This window comes from Homo sapiens, chromosome X (genome assembly GCF_000001405.40).
Source record: "Homo sapiens chromosome X, GRCh38.p14 Primary Assembly".
In the NCBI taxonomy this organism is placed as follows: domain Eukaryota; kingdom Metazoa; phylum Chordata; class Mammalia; order Primates; family Hominidae; genus Homo; species Homo sapiens.
Window position 1 is genome coordinate 7339545 of NC_000023.11, and position 16845 is coordinate 7356389.

The 16845-nt window shown below is 42.0% G+C and overlaps 1 protein-coding gene across 7 annotated transcripts in view; it reads left to right on the top strand.

Moving 5' to 3' along the window:
* The window catches only part of STS (steroid sulfatase), a 207352-nt gene extending 192255 nt beyond the window's left edge, over positions 1-15097 (top strand). For all 7 annotated transcript variants that reach the window (NM_001320750.3, NM_001320751.2, NM_001320752.2 and 4 more), the window contains one exon: positions 10344-15097. In NM_001320750.3, coding sequence (NP_001307679.1) covers positions 10344-10717 — 374 coding nt within the window. In that variant the 3' untranslated portion in view covers positions 10718-15097. The remainder of the gene's footprint in view (positions 1-10343) is intronic.

Here is a 16845-nt window from a genome sequence, read left to right on the forward strand (position 1 = left end):
GCCTGTGAAGCCCAGTACAAGGTACAACATTTGTACTTGTAATTGTAGCAACACAGGATGATGGTGTCCTGGGATGAACAGAATTTGCTTTGGAGATCTAGGAAAAGGAGTGATTTATGAGGTTAGAAAAGATTTCATAGAACTTTTAATTTTTTATTAAATTTATTTTATATCATTATCATCTAGACACATCAGTAACAGCTTAACTTCCCCTAACAGTCATTTCCAACAGTGGAAAAAAATCACCACATAAATAGATTTTGTGTTTTCCAACATAGCCTATTAAACATATATTTTCTTATGGAACTTCATATTACCTTATAGACAGTATCAGACAATATTTGAGATAAACGTTCACTTTTCAACCAAAGTTGTAGTATGTCTGATCTAAGATTACACTAATACTGTGGAAGAAAAATTCCTGGTCATTACTTTTGATAATTTGCTACAATGCAAACTTACTTCCTTATAGAAACAAAGTAAATCAAAATTGAATTTTCTTTCTTGAATACAAAAAAAAAAAAAAAAGCGCCAAAAAACTTGGTGTGGCTGAATGATCAAATGCCCTCTTCCATCTAAGCTTGGCACCCAGCTTATTCTGATCTTTTTGCCAGGGGTCACTTCTGATCTTTTCCCCTTGCATTCTCCGTCCTACCGTTTCATTGATTTTCTACAGTATTTTACACATCTCTTTTCCCTGACTTCAACACGGGGTGTCTCTCAGTTCTCCCGAAATGTCTGCTTATGTCTCTAACCCCCCGCCAGATTTGCTTTCATATGCTCTCAGACCTGGTGTTTTCTAAATAGACATTTTAGTTCTAACCAGGGCATGCAATATTTAGCAATTTTTTGTGTCTTCCTTACTTTCGTATCTTCTGTACAAAAATGTTTTGTAGGTGGTTATAGACGTTTCCGTTTGTTAATCTCATGTTCTTGAAATTTGTCATCTCTTTTTGTGATCATTATGTATCTTTTGAAGACGTGCTTGATGACAGTAAACACTGATGTTTGTTGCATATTTACTGTCTGCCCGACAGTTTGTCAAGAACATTGTATTTGATATCTCATTAGAAGAGATTATGATTATATTAGTTTCAGATTTGGCTGTAACAAAAAACAATAAAAAAAAACAGTAGTTTACATTAGAGAGAAGTTTATATCTCCATCTCATGGGTGACATCCAGAGGCGAATGGTCTACAAAATCTCTGGGGTGCAGAATCTTTCAAGCGGCTTTTCCACCTCCTGTAGAATGTGACAGCTTCATCTTCATGGTGAATGATGGTTGTGTCTACCCTAAACGCATACAATGGCGGGACGGATGGGAAAGATGAGAAGAAAAAAGTGCATGGCTACTACTTCCCAAGGAAGATAGTCAGACTCTTCTCAGAGGCCAGAAGTTGGTCACCTGTTCACACCTAGCTTCACAGGAGGCTGCAAAGGAGAGTTTTGTTATGGGTGTTCATGTACCCAGAGGAACACTCAATGACTGTGGGAGGCTGGCGGATCAGCTAGCTATCTCTCCTCCCAGTGTTATTTTTTCCCAATTATAGATGGGGAGACAGAGAGGTAGAAGGTCGCATTACTGGCATACAGTTGCAAAGTTGATGGCCAAGTTGGGATTTGCAACCAACACCATTTGCTTTTGAGTCTGTCTCCCATTAATCGAAATGTCTTCCCCTAAGACAATATGTTCTTTTACTCACAATTATAAATCATGATTCCTCCACCTAACCGTGTATCTGGACATCTCTGTGCCCCCATGCACTGAGTCCACGATTCATCCACATCCTCTTATTCCCCAAATGTGGACATCCTTGGCATCATCAGGTCTCATACTCCTTCCACTGGCTCCATGCCTGGTCCTCGTCCTCTCAGCTGCCCTCCTCCCTCTCCATGAATGTTCTTTCCTGGGGGCCAAATGACTTATGCCCCCTGCACAATTCCTGATGACTGCCCATTTTTGACACCAAGCAATCCCAAAGCAAATGTACTTCCAAGCTCTCTGCCTTCCTCACTCCGTTATCTGCCATGATCAGACAGTAATCTCCAGTGCCTCACAGTAGTCTGTTGGTCCTTCAGGCTGGAGATGGTGCAGAGCCATTGTGTGATTTCAGGCAGGATGCTCCGGGTAGGTCCCGAGGGGACTGTGGAGTGTATTTGGCTTCTTGTCTGCTCACCCTGGATTTCATAATGACAGCTGGTTCCTCCCCTCTCTTTCCATCCCTTCCTCCTAATAACCATCATCTCTTTTTTTTTTTAAATTTATCCAACAATTTTTTTTTTTGAGATGGAGTTTTGCTCTTGTTGCCCAGGCTGACATGCAATGGCACGATCTCGGCTCACTGCAAACTCCACCTCCAGGTTCAAGCGATTCTCCTGTGCCAGCCTCCCGAGTAGCTGGGATTACGGGCGCCCACCACCACGCCCAGCTAGTTTTTATATTTTTAGTAGAGACGGGGTTTCACCATGTTGGCCAGGCTGGTCTTGAACTCCTGACCTCAGGTGATCCACCCCGCCTCGGCCTCCCAAAGTGCTGGGATTACAGGTGAGGGCCACTGTGCCTGGCCCCAACAATTTTTATTGGGCCTCTATTCTATCTAAGATACTAGGCACTACACATTTAGGAGATGTGGGAGATATAGTCCCTGCCTTCAGAGAGGAAATAATCCAGCCAGAGAATTGGAGACCTCAAGTGTTGACTGAGTGATGAAAAGTGGTGAGAGGAACAGAGGAAGACTGGTGACTTCCAGCTGGGAATTCAGATGGGTGCATGGAGGAGAACACAGCAGGGCTTTGAAGGACAGCTAGAATATCAATATGGAGGCAAGGAAGGGAAAGTGAGGGAAGAGTCTCATATACATCCTACACCCACTTTGTTCCAGGTTATATATTTCTGTCCCTTAATATGCAAAACCCAAGGCTTGGTAAAAGGGAGTATTTTGTCCTCAAATACTCAGGCATCAGTTGGGAAAGCTTGTGTTGCTCTCAAATTGGCTGGCTGTGAAACAGATGCACCCAGCCACCAGAGCTGCTTCCTCATCCTTCTCACTGTTGTTGTATCGTGAGCTCTGGTACTGCCAGCTGCAGGAAGCAGGCAGAACTTATCTACTGTCATCGATTATATATCAGCCAAGGGCTGAATAGTTAGGGGGTTTGTGCTATGGTAAACAGATGGCAGTGAACCTCAGGGGTCAGAAACAGAGCTTGGGGCCAAGATGCTTTTGGTGAGTGTGCATGTATTAAGTTAGAAGACACATGATCTATGGAGGCTCAGGTATGGACACACTGTAAAATCTTTGGGTGTAAGAAAAGATTTGAGGCATTAGTGTGGGGTATCTGGATGAGACTAGGGTAATGTATGGAACAATTTTTTAGGTGGATCGCAGGAGTAGGAGGGCACCATGAGATGGGTTTTCAGACATCAGTTCAGTGGATGACATTAACTTTTCTGTAAACTTACTGAGGGGGCAGGCCTAGGGTTCTTTGTGTGGGGGTTCCTCACAATGGAAAAATGGAACAGTATGTGAAATGGTTCTTGAAGAACTTCAAGATGGCAACAGAGGTACATGCTGCCAAGACTGAAAACCCAAAATATCTGTGTATACCTTCTATGATATATACATGCAGTCTTCCAAGCACCCAAAATAAATCTCGCCAAAACTACCAGTTGAACATCATTCATCAAGGGAAGTTTAAATCTGAGTGATACATTAAGAGCCACTGTGTTGAAACCATGTAGATTTATTAATAGTTTTCCATATACTTTAAGAATCCTTAGCAGAAAAAAAAATGTCTTACGACATGTATTACAGTAGCAACAGATTGAAGGGCAGATGGAAACTGAATTGTTTCTTGCGTAAATTGGCTGCAGCTTTCTGTTCACAGCTAACTCATGTATAGTCTCTACTATAGACCCAGCCTCCTTCTGACAGCATCACATATAGGAACCAATTTTTAATCCTCAAAGCAATGCTACCAGGGAAGAACTATTATTATGAACATTTAACAGAGGAGCAGACTGGGACACAGAGAGGTGAGAGCAGCTATGCCCAGCATCACGTATGTAAGAAACTGCAGAGCTCGGGGTTGAACCTAAACTATTGATGCTCAGAGCTATGCCCTTAATCAAGTCAGTGGCAGGAAAAACCTTGGCCGAAGCACCTGCCCTCTAGCTAGTGCGTTCTCTCTCTCTCTTCCCCGCCTACCGCCAGCACCCCCCGCCCCTCCCGGGACTCCTCTGTCTATGCAAGTCTCACATAGCATCAGGCTAAGAAAGGCAAATGCTCTTTTCTAAAGACATTGCTATCATCCTAGAACAAGAGAGTCTTCGGGCCCCTGGCACCACCCCTTCTCCATCATATTTGTCCTGGAAGAGCACAGCAACTCTACCTGTCTCTGCTTTTTCTATACTGCCTATGGATCTTTGGTGCCTTTCCTGTCCTTTAGAGCTGTTCATTCATTCATGCAGTTTATCACCACGCCTTGGGACTTGTGAGGATTGTCTGTCTCAGTCCAGCTTCTGGCTCATTTTATCAAAAATAAAGTTTGTCTTATTTTATAGCTTAGCTCTCAGAGGGTTCATGTGTAGGGAGTGGCGAATTTGTGCTATGATAACTATTAGCCCTGACATTTCAGGGGCTCAGCCCAGCAAACATTTATTCTCACTCTTGCTGTAGAACAGAGCTTGTCAACCTGGGTACTAGTACTATTGACATCTGGGGCCAGATCATTCTCTGTGCTGGAGGCTGCCCTGTGGATTCTAGACTGTGGAGCAGCATCCGTGGCCTCTCCCTACCAGGTATCAGTAGCAAGTCTGCCCCACTGCAGCTATGACCACAAAATGTGTCTTCCGACACGGCCAGAGGTTCAGGAGATAACTGTGTTCAGTGCCTGTCATGGTGGGAAGGTGGGGGTCTAGGAGGAGAAGGTTCTGCCATCCATTTGTCAGGGACCACCCTGACAGAGGCCCCATCATCTCGAGTGTCACCAGCAGAAGAGACAGCTCCTCTGTGCTGTGGCTGGGAAAAGACATACCACATACTGCTCACGTTTGGCCAGAATGGGCCATGCGGCCTTTCTGACTTCAAGGAAGCTGGAAGGTGTTCTGGAGCGCTTGAATTACTCAGGGTTTATTATCCCCAAAAAGGAGGTGTAGTCTTGTTTTTGTGGCCTCAGAGTTCCAGGTTGGGGGCACCTTGCTTTAGCCGCTGTGGGTTAGAAGCAGGGGCCGTAAGGGCACACTCACGTTGTGTGATGCCTCTGAGTGTCTATCATGCGCGCAGTGTCTTTACTTGTGCCGAACAGGCTTTCCAGACCTGGTTTTGTTTTGTCTCACGTGATGGCTCTGAGACTTCTGCAAGACAGCAGTTTAAACATTCAGAGAGGCCTGGAAATGAGTGTCCTGGGGTCTGGACTGTGCCGAGCTGTGTTATGGACTGTTGTGACTGCTCTAAGTAGAGAATTCAGAATGCAAGATGTGAGAGGCTTGCGTCACTATGAGAAGCCAGAAGCACTTGGGGCCCTTGGGATAAAGACAGAATGAGGCCTTCGAGGACGTTGTTAAAATTTGTAGGCGATGTAGCATGACCCTGTTCCCGGACCAAACCGAGGGTAGGACTGCTATTTCTCGCAGCCCAACAAAAAGATGCAGATGAACTGGGGAGAAAGAGAGTTTTTATTTCTGTAACCGGTTACAGGGAGAAGGCCTGGAAAATATTGCCCAGACCAACTCAAAATTGCAGTTTTCCGGAGCTTATATATCTTCTAAGCTATTAGTCTATGTGTAAGTGTGCATTCATCTAAAGATATAAGTGATGAACTTCTTTTAATCTATAACCAAGATCTGAGTCCTGAAGACCTTCCTCTGGAGCCCCAGTAAATTGGCTTAATCTAAATGGGTCCAGGTGCTGGGGTGATTACCCTTATCTTGTCTCCTGCTAAATCATGGAGGTTTGGGGAGTTCCTTCAGATCTCCAGTAAACTTGTTTGTGGAGGTCTGGGGAGTTTCTTCAGACCCCCAGTAAAACTTGTTTAATCCTAAACGAGTCCTGTTAAGAATCCTTCGTTATCATGTCATGCTTCAAGGCCCAGGAGAGGCCTGGGCAAAACTCCTGATGGGCTTTTGTTCCATTCCAGCCTTTGTATGAGGACACTGGCTCTTTCAGCTTTTAATAGTAACTTCACCACTCGGTCAGTGCCGAAACAGATGTCATGGAGGCCTGCGTTAGTGAGACCTGGCCTGCCACAACCCGACTCCAAGACGTTAAGAGGGAGCTTGTGCTAGATACTAATATTGATTTTAAAAAATATTTTAGTACATAACGAAAGTTCTGGTTTGCGCCCTCTCTATTTTTGTTCTTGGGGAGCACATATGCTCATTTTCGGGGCTTCCTTGCCAGGGCTCCCACTTCCTGTGGCTGAGTCGCTGTAATACGAAGTAATAGAAATCACAACGTCTCTTCTGTTCCAGGGTCAGAAGCCCCTGTGGTCCCCAGGCAATCCCAGGGAACCCAGATACCTCTTTATTTCTCTTTGTTCACAGCTTAGTTTATTTTTAATAAGATAGCTGTTTTAGGATCCTATGTGGAGGATGTTGAATCAGTTTCTGGCTTAGGCATCAACTTTTTCTCACTTCAATTCTATTTGCCTTTTTGTCAAATGACAATAAACTTTCTTCTCTCATGAGTTGAGTCACATTGTTTAGTGGTGATTTTATATAAAAATATGTTTCACCAGATGGGTGATGATTTCCTAAGCATTTTGTTCTAGCACAGTGACATAACAGTGCTATATCATATGTCATTGATATCTTTGACCATCACTTGTGACAATTCGTTTTCTTAATTTGGGGGAGGATTTTTAAAATCTCAGTAGAATTATTGTCCTCACCACTACTTAGACTACTTAAACAAGTAAAAAAAAAAAAAAAAAAAAAACTGTCCACTTTAATTTCCCTGCATTCTTTATACCAAATTTAATCATTCCTTTTCCAGGTCATTGGATCTCAGTTATAAATGAGTCTAAGTTCCCAGTTTGGTCAAAATACTTATCGTTTTCAGTGGTGAGGGAGAAACAGTCTTTTATCAGAGCAGTTGATGATAATTTTTAAAATACAGTAGTGAATAAACATTTTTTAAAAATTTAACATTTTTCTAGTATATGAGGATACTCAGGATGAAGTATGTTATCAAGATAATTTTGGAATACAGGACTAAATATACCTATGAAAAATATAAGATGATGCTGGGCATGGTGGCTCACACCTGTAATCCCAGTGCTTTGGGAGGCCAAGGCAGGAGGATTGCTTGAGCCCAGGAGTTCGAGACCAGCCTGGGCAACATGGAGACACCCCATTTCTACAAAAAAATTTAAAATATAGCTGGGCCTGGTGGCATACACCTGTGGTCCCAGCTACTTAGGAGGCTGAGGCAGGAGGATTGCTTGAGCCCAGGAGTTCAAGACTATAGTGAGCTATGATCATACCACTGCACTCCAGCCTGAGTGATAATGCAAGACCCTGTCTCTAGAAAATACAAATCGAAAATATAAATTAAACAAAAGAAGATGACTCTGCCAGGTGCCTTCTGTTTTATCTAGTGACTGAGCTGTGCTATTTATCTTTGAAATGACACCTTTGGAGATGTCAGTTGCTGGGTTCCTGGTGAATAATAGAACAAGCTTCCAAAGTCGGGGTTGTTACCTTGTGAGCCACTGTACAATAAAAAGTGCAGTTCTAGTTCTCTCTTTTCAGTAAATCTAAAGTGGTCCAGAGAAACAGCACAGAGACTAAGCAATCTACCTTTTTATGAAAAGTTTTTAAAAATCCAAATGAAAGGATAAAAAGGCAAGCAACCCCAGAGCATGCTAAATAATTCTTTAGAATAATTAATTCTTAGTTCTACACTTGTCTGAACTACCCAGCAACACCACTGCCATTCCCAGGCCGGGGTGCCTGCATCTCTTGACTGGGCCTGATGTCAATCTGATCTTCCAGCTCACACCTGAGGAGGATTGTGCTCTAGTAGTAATGACAGGATCATTTGAGTGGCTTTCAAAAGCAAGTGGAAAATACAGGCTCTTTACATGAATTTATTCCAGGAGCCTGTATTCTCCTGGGGTTTTAAACACAAAGAGGCTTGACTCGAATGTCAAGTTCAAAACGCCCTCTAGATTTGCATCATTGGGAGCATGAGCAAGAGAGGCTTCCTGGCTCGCTTCTCTGTGTACCCACTTTCTCTCTCGGCTGACCCTGATGAAGGATTCTAAGTGGCTGCAAATGGCAGGCTCTGTCAGCCTGTCTCCAAAAAGGCTTCTGAAGGAAATTTCTCATACCCTGGAAGAAAGTGTGGGATGAGACGAGTGGATGGGAAGCATCTTAAGGTTACTTGCTGCCTTTTTAAACCCTGCTGGAGATGGTAACCAAGTCCTGGAATTCTTCCTGCAGCCTGGCGTGTCTGTGTGTCAGCTTGACCTTATCTTTCTGAAGCAGGTGCACTGAGCCCATGTAAAGTGCACAGATGTCATGTCCTGCTCTCGCAGAATCAGCTATGCCACAGACTGCAGTCGTCTCATTATGAATCTTCTTTAATATATTAATCTAAACGTATTCACCTCGCTTTCCCTGTCTTTCTCAGCTTTAAAAAAAACCCACATACACAAAGAGGCTGACTTTTACCATCACTAACCTTGTCCAAGGTTAGGGGCGATTTGGGGACAACACATGCCCTAGTGACTGTTGGTTTAAACCGATTGCATTAATCAGTTTTGCATTTTGATCAGTTGATCATGAAATGCCTATAATTACAAAAGTCACACATGCCATTATATGCACAAATGATCGGGATGACTTACACAGGGGTGGAGGGCTTCCTAGGAGGAATGCCTCTTTGGTTTTATGTAAAAGCTGTAAGGGCATTCACGTTCTGCACCTGATTCTAGTCGGTTCATGCATTTTAATTCTCTGTTTTTATCTGCTACATTTTGCCTACCCATGAAACATGTTTAGGCCTCTCTTAGAAGGTGTTTGAGAGCAGTCAGCTCCTCAGAAAATGATAACATTGTCCGATAAGTAGGAAATGAATCAATTATTTCATAATTATTCATTTGTTTGTGAATTAGTTTTTCCTAGCAATTTCAATATTTTGGAGTTTATTGAAATACAGAACTTACATTTTAAAAACTAACCATCCTATTCTGGTGTTGATGAATTCCCCTAATTTGGAATTCCTAGCAGCTTTTAAAGGTATACGTTGCATGCCATTATATTCTAATTTAAAGATTTTTAGAAAATGTATAGAGTTGAGCAGTCTACTTTCAGAACATCTCCTTCATCGCCAAAAGATCATTTCCATTCCCCATTTGTAATCCCTCCTCACCATCACTTCTAGCCTCATTTAATTCTTTTTTATTTTTGTTTATTTTTGTGGGTTTGTTTTTTGTTTTGTTTTGTTTTTTTGAGACGGGGTCTTGCTCTGCCACCCAGGCTGGAGTGCAGTGGCATGATCATAGCTCACTGCGGTTTCAACTGCCTAGGTTCACACAATCCTCCTGCCTTAGCCTCTGGAGTAGCTGGGACTACAGACACGTGCCACCACACCCAGCTTTTTTTTTTTTTTTTTTTTAATTTCTTATAGAGATGGGCTTTAACTGTGTTGCCCAGGCTGGTCTCAAACCCCTACCTAGGCTCAAGGCTCAAGTGATTCTTCCACCTCGGCCTCCCAAAGTGCTGATATTACAAGCATGAGCCGCTGCACTCGGCCCTCATTTAATTCCTTTTTTTTTTTTTTTTTTTTTTTTTTTTTTTTTTTTTGAGACAGAGTCTCATTCTGTCGCCCAGGCTGGAGTGCAGTGGCACAATCTCAGCTCACTGCAACCACCACCTCCCAGGTTCAAGTGATTCTTTTGCCTCAGCTTCCTGAGTAGCTGGGATTACAGGGACCTGCCACAACACCTGGCTAATTTTTGTATTTTTTAGCAGAGACGGGGTTTCGCCATGTTGGCCAGGCTGGTCTCGAACTCCTGACCTCAAGTGGTCTATCTGTCTCGGCCTCCCAAAGTTCATTTAATTCTTGATTCGACATTTTTTGGACTTTCTGGAAACTGAGAAAATAAACTGTTAACTATGGTCCTACCAAGTTTGACGCTGTTCCTGCTGGCTGTGTGTGTGGGCGTCTATGTGTGGCTTCATAATCTTTCCTGTACATATTAACATTGTGTCTGCAGCCTTATGATATCTTCACCTTCTTAAAGCACATGGCAGCATAATTTCCGCATCACTTTTTCATTTGTGGTACATACAAGGATGCTTCATACCTAATGCCGTTTCCATCCTTTTAAACCACAGGCACATCCATCTGGAAGGCCTTTTTCTTCACCCCCAACTTCAACCCCGTGGGTTCCAACGGATGCTTTGCCACACACGTGTGCTTCTGTTTCGGGAGTTATGTCACCCATCACGACCCACCTTTACTCTTTGATATTTCCAAAGATCCCAGAGAGAGAAACCCACTAACTCCAGCATCCGAGCCCCGGTTTTATGAAATCCTCAAAGTCATGCAGGAAGCTGCGGACAGACACACCCAGACCCTGCCAGAGGTGCCCGATCAGTTTTCATGGAACAACTTTCTTTGGAAGCCCTGGCTTCAGCTGTGCTGTCCTTCCACCGGCCTGTCTTGCCAGTGTGATAGAGAAAAACAGGATAAGAGACTGAGCCGCTAGCAGCGCCTGGGGACCAGACAGACGCATGTGGCAAAGCTCACCATCTTCACTACAAACACGCCTGAGAGTGGCACTGGGGAAACATAACTCCATCTACACCTTGGATTTGGACTGATTCTCCATTTTATCACCTGAAGGCTTGGGCCAGAGCTCAACAGCTACTCAACTGGAGGGGTGAGGGGGATAAGGTCTGTAGTATACAGACAGGAAGATGGTAGGTTTATGCCTTCTGTGGCCAGAGTCTTGGACTCATGGAAATAGAATGAATAGAGGGGCATTCACAAGGCACACCAGTGCAAGCAGATGACAAAAAGGTGCAGAAGGCAATCTTAAAACAGAAAGGTGCAGGAGGTACCTTAACTCACCCCTCAGCAAATACCTATGTCAACAGTATAAGTTACCATTTACTCTATAATCTGCAGTGATGCAATAACCAGCATAATAAAAAGGCAATCACATAAAAAAGAGTTTAGTCGTCTAAACATAAGTAACTTTAAGGTGAATGAAAGATCTTCTTTAGGAATAATAGATGATGGTAAGTTCCACTTTGGTTATTGGAAGGCAAGTCATTATTACTGGTATTAGTTAAAACACATATCAAATGCTTGCTCTTCATCATATATATAGTTATGCATACATACACACACACACATACAGTATATTCTTTCCTCAAAAGGGTTAAGATGTCTAAAATAGGGACCTAGAAGCTTAACACTATTTAAGTAAATACAGTAGAAGCTCACAAATAGATTTCTTTGCACAATGATTTTTTGCAAAATTTTACAGTAATAATAATCCCAAGGCAAATCTCTCCTGAACTGCTTTCCATTCCATAATTTGTAGTATAATTCTTGGATTCCACTGTTTTCTTTGGGGAATGGAAGTTCTGAATTAAAAGCCCACTGTGGAGATGCTGTGGTTCATGGAATCTCTTCCAGTGTAATTCAGAATCATTGGCCTAGAAAGTCTCTGATATTTGGAGGGGAACAAAAATCACTCACAAGCAATCCATGATCTATACACATAAGCATAATTTCCTTTAGTTCTAGTTAGTCATCAGAGAACAGTCATGTATGCAAGTTTTGTGACTGAGAAATTTCTGTGCTTCCAATCCACAATGAGATGCATGATTTTGTTTTCATCCCATTTCCCCCAAGCCCCTGTAAATCAGGGAAAATGCGCAACTGATCGCCTAGGAGAGGGCCTCGTAGTGGCACAGCTGGAGATAGTTTCAAAGTCTAAACCACCAGCCCATCCTGAGGAAAGCCTCCTATGGAATGTAAAGTGCAATCATTTCTTCAGATATAAGACTTTCCCCAACAATGTGATTGGATTCCTTTATGGCAAAATCGAGAGAAGCTGCCATCCACCTGCTTATGCATTTATCTCTTTTGTGGACTTGTCTGACCACCTTCTATTTGCCCAGAGTTTGCTCAATTCCAAGACAGTGCCCATGAATGGGACACCTGTAATGTAACCCACACAGCGGTTTGCAGAGAATGTTAGCCATGACTTGGGCTTTCTGAAAGTTGGCTATAATTTCTCTATCCCTACCCACAACCCTGGGAAGTTGGAGCAAGAGGGGCATACTATTGGGCTGGGAGGATTTGACAGCATTTCCCCAGTTGCCCTTTAAGTTCTTCTATTTCAAACGTTAATTTTGCTTCTCTTTCTAAAAAAAAAAAAAAAAAAGAAAGAGAAGAAAGAAGTGATTCCTACCCCCTACCTCCAGAGTTGTTGAAAGCTGAAAAGCATACAAGATTCTTCCTTTTAACTTGGATTTCTCGTTCCAGAAATTGTGGGATAATCTGTATTCTTGCTTTAGAAAACATTCTTAGAGAGGGTACTAGCTTACTGATGATGTGTTAGGATTGCTACTGATGCTGTCATGTGGAAACTATTTAAAGGCACTATTATAAATTTATCCTATAAGATGACAATGTTTACTCAAAGTCTAACATATTCAATGCAAGTAAGACTTTCTGAAAACACTTGATGATGTGGAAATGCTGCAGGATTAAATAACTTGAAGAGCCTTTATAGATTATATGAATGCCTATTTGTGTCTAGAACCAGTTATTTAACCTGTAAAATGTCAATAGCAAATGAAGGATGAAGTATATCTCTAGATGCAAATACATTGAGTTTAAAAGTGCCTCAAAATAATTGAGATCACATTTCAGGACATTTGGAAATCAGGTCGATTTGTGGTAACTGTAGTCATCTTAAATTTCAAACCATTTACCATCTGAAAGTTTTGATTTGAATGTAAAACAGGAAATTGGAATTCCTTTGTCCAGGAGAAACCTCACAAACCTTCTTTAAGGCATAGTTTTGTTGTTTGTTTGCTTGTTTGTTGCAGGCTGTAAGGCATGGCTGCTTGTTTACAAAGCATCTCATTCATATTACCTGTGGAGTTGCATATCCAAACCTTAGTGAGTTTTGAAGCTTTAAGCAAATTCTTTTAAAAAATTCTTGTATTTCTAGCATTACTAGATATTAAAAGTTAAGCAAATAGATTAATGACGTATACATAGGCATCATTTCACAAGGTCAGTAATGCTGCAGGAAAAGCAAAATTGCAATCTACGTATCTATGGTACTAAGGAAGTCCTGTTTTTCAAAAATGGAAGCCCACTTCTCAGATTTTTCTGAAGGGCATACAATGAAAAGTGAAGGGGAAACACACACACACAAAAAAACAAGTATTTGGCTTGTCACAGGAATCTGATTGCATTAAGTGAAAGGATTATTTAGAATATGTTAATGCAAAGCTAAAATAAAATTTTCCTTGGCAATTAAAAATGCTGTGCGCTAATACCCTGCTTTCTATCGTGACTCAATTCAACAATGTGGGGAATGTTTACTACATTTCCAACTTGATGTCAAGCAATGGGGAATACAAGTTCCAGTTCTGCAAAGATTCGTCAACTTTCTTAGCTCAAGAGAGAGGCTGAGAAATGCAGAGAAGAATAAGACATAAAATAGCTCCGACCTCCATGATCCGAGAGTGGGAAAAGGCCCGATTATTACCCATAAGGCACACTCTCTAAGGCCTTTTAAGGGGCCTACAAAAATGTTTTATTTTATAATCAGAAGAAAAGGAAATGAACATTGGGGATTGAAAATCATATTGGTATTTGCACCAACATAGTCATAAAATAGTATGTTAATATGTTTTTACTTTATATATTTATATATTAAAATATATTTAATATGTTTTGCCTTTGTGGCCCATGAAAGTCTTACTGGGCCCTGGGGAAGGTATCCTACCCTGGTGAAGCAGCTGCTTTGCTCTACAAATACCTGGGGCAGAAATTTGATTTGAAAAGTATTATTCTCTCTTCTCTTTGTTTCAACTGGATTCCTTTGGAAAACCAAACTAGTATCAGAACAAACCCCGAAACAGTAAGAAATTGGAGTGAGAAGGGCATGGTATTGGGACTAGGATCGGCTCTCATTCGATCGAGCTATTCTCTTAAAATGACAAAAAGTGTCCATAAAGAGGCTGCTGGAGAGTGCGTGGCCATAGGGAGCCGACATGCCCGGGAGGAAAGGTGTTGATTACATGGATACTTCTAAAAGCTAAAGCCTTGTTGCCTTCTCTTTAATGCCTAGAGAATGGGATGTGTGATGCAAATGCTCAAAACCTCTTAAATCATAGCTGTCTGACCTCTACGGACCTCACATCCATCTGAGGCTTCATGGACAAAGATTCTCCACTTGGCCAAACTTTAGCCAAGCTCCTCAACCTTCTCCCAGGCCCAATCTGGGCACTTCCTTGTAAAATCTAGTTTTGGCAAGAAGTCTATTAGGTCAGTTTAGCAAGAACACCTAACCCCCCCATATCTGTTCAACCTCAGTATCTGATCAGGCTCCTCAGCCTCCACCATCCCCCAGGTGATGTCTGGTCAACTGGCCTGCCTTCAGCTAGAATCCTGTTAGGTCGGTTTAGATGAATGCTCCCTGATATTTCCTCTTGGTAATCTTCCATCCACTGCCCCTGACCCTGTTCCCTGTCTATAAATCCCCAGTTTTCCATGGTGTATTCAGAGCTGAGTCCAGTCTCTCTCCCCTACTACAAGTCCCCATTGCTGTGGTCCCCGTACCTGTCATGATGGTCCTAAATAAAGTCTTACTGTGCTTTAATAGGTAGCATTGAAAAATTTTTTTCTTTGACATCATTCATGACAACATGAAACCTATTGGGACAGCATGACTGTGCAGGGTCTTTAGAGCTCAGCTTTCTGAGGCCCTGAGCATTCTTGGTTTTCCGACATCGTGAACCTGTTCTGTGTTGCAAGATATCACTCAAGCCAGTGTTGCTTAATACCATCTCTTTGTGTAATAGATCTGAATAAAGTAATTGTAATACACCAATATTTTACTTTGTTGAGTATTATTTTAATGGGAGCCTTTCCAATGAAGGAAACATCAGCTTTCCTTGTTAGAATGCAAGCAGCTTAAAAACTACCCATGTCTTTCTGGAAAGGAAACATTGCCATGTAACTATGTATCAGTTTTCTAAGAACTTCATGGGCCTTCCATATAGGAGACCCTCAAATCTGGGGGTTCATCTGAGAGTGGTTCTACTCATTAAGTTCAAATCCTCTAAAGGATTTTTTGGTAAGTGTATCTTTTTTTTTTTTTTTTTTTTTTTTTCACAGAGTCTCACTCTGTCGCCCAGGCTGGAGTGCAGTGGTGCAATCTTGGCTCACTGCAAACTCCACCTTCTGGGTTCAAGCGATTCTCCCACTTCAGCCTCCCAAGTCACTGGGACTATAGGTGTGCACCACCACACCTGGCTAATTTTTGTATTTTTTAGTAGAAATGGGGTTTCATCATGTTGGCCAGGCTGGTCTCAAACTCCTGACCTCAGGTGATCCACCCACCCTGGCCTCCCAAAGTGCTGGAATTACAGGTGTGAGCCACTGCACCTGGCCATGGTAAGTTTATCTTACCTGGCAAACACATCACATCTTCAAAGTAGCAAATTGTATAATTTCTTACATACACTTTACACAATAAGCAAACACAGTCACTTTTATATTGAGGTCTGGGCTATAAAATTTGCTTCACTGAGTATATGAGTATCTAAGGTTTGAAACTAAATTATACATGGGGATTGTAGTGTTTTTCTAAAGGTAAAATTGTTAATGAACATATTTTTAGAAATAGGTACTTTGAATTGCTTGTCAATATTTATACTAATTTAACAATGGGTGCAAAAATAAATACACAAAGTACCATATTTACAAAGATATGCATATTCTCCAGTGCGCAGGGCCCAATGGTTGCTACATTTGGAATAGAAACTATCTCATGGTTCAAATATACAGATTCATCTCAGTGAGTGCTGAGCAAGATGATATTTTCCTGTTTCCCTTATAGTAATGTTGGCACCATATGAGCCACTCGGGCCTGGCCATAAGTTTCCTGCATAATCCTCTATGGTGAGAGTCCCCACCCCCAGGCCACAGACCACTACCAGTCCATGGCCTGTTAGGAACTGAGACACAAAGCAGGAAGTGAGCGGAGGGCAAGTGAGCAAAGCTTCATCTATATTTACGGCCTCTCTCCATTACTCACGTTACCACCTGAGCACCACCTCCTGTCAGATGAGCAGCCACATTAGATTCTCATAAGAGCAAGAACCCTATTGTAAACTGCACATGCGAGGGATCTAGGTTGTGCGCTCCTTATGAGAATCTTATGCCTGATGATCTGTCTCTGTCTCCTGTTACCCCCAGATGGAACTGTCTAGTTGCAGGAAAACTAGCTCAGGGCTCTCACTGATCCTACATTATGGTGAGTTGTATAATTATTTTATTATATATTAGAATGTAATAATAATAGGAATAAAGTGTACAATGAATGTAATGTATTTGAATCATCCGAAACCATCCGCCACCCCCAGTTTGTGGAAAAATTGTCTTTTAGTCCCTGGTGCCAAAAAGTTTGGGAACTGCTGCTCTATGGGTACTCTGCTTGTTGTCATTGAATACAGAAAATTGAGATAAGAGCTCAGAGGAGGGCCTAAGGGATGAATGGTAATATATTAGTCCGTTGTCATGCTGCTAATAAAGACATACTCAAGACTGGGTAATTTATAAAGAAAAGACGTTTAG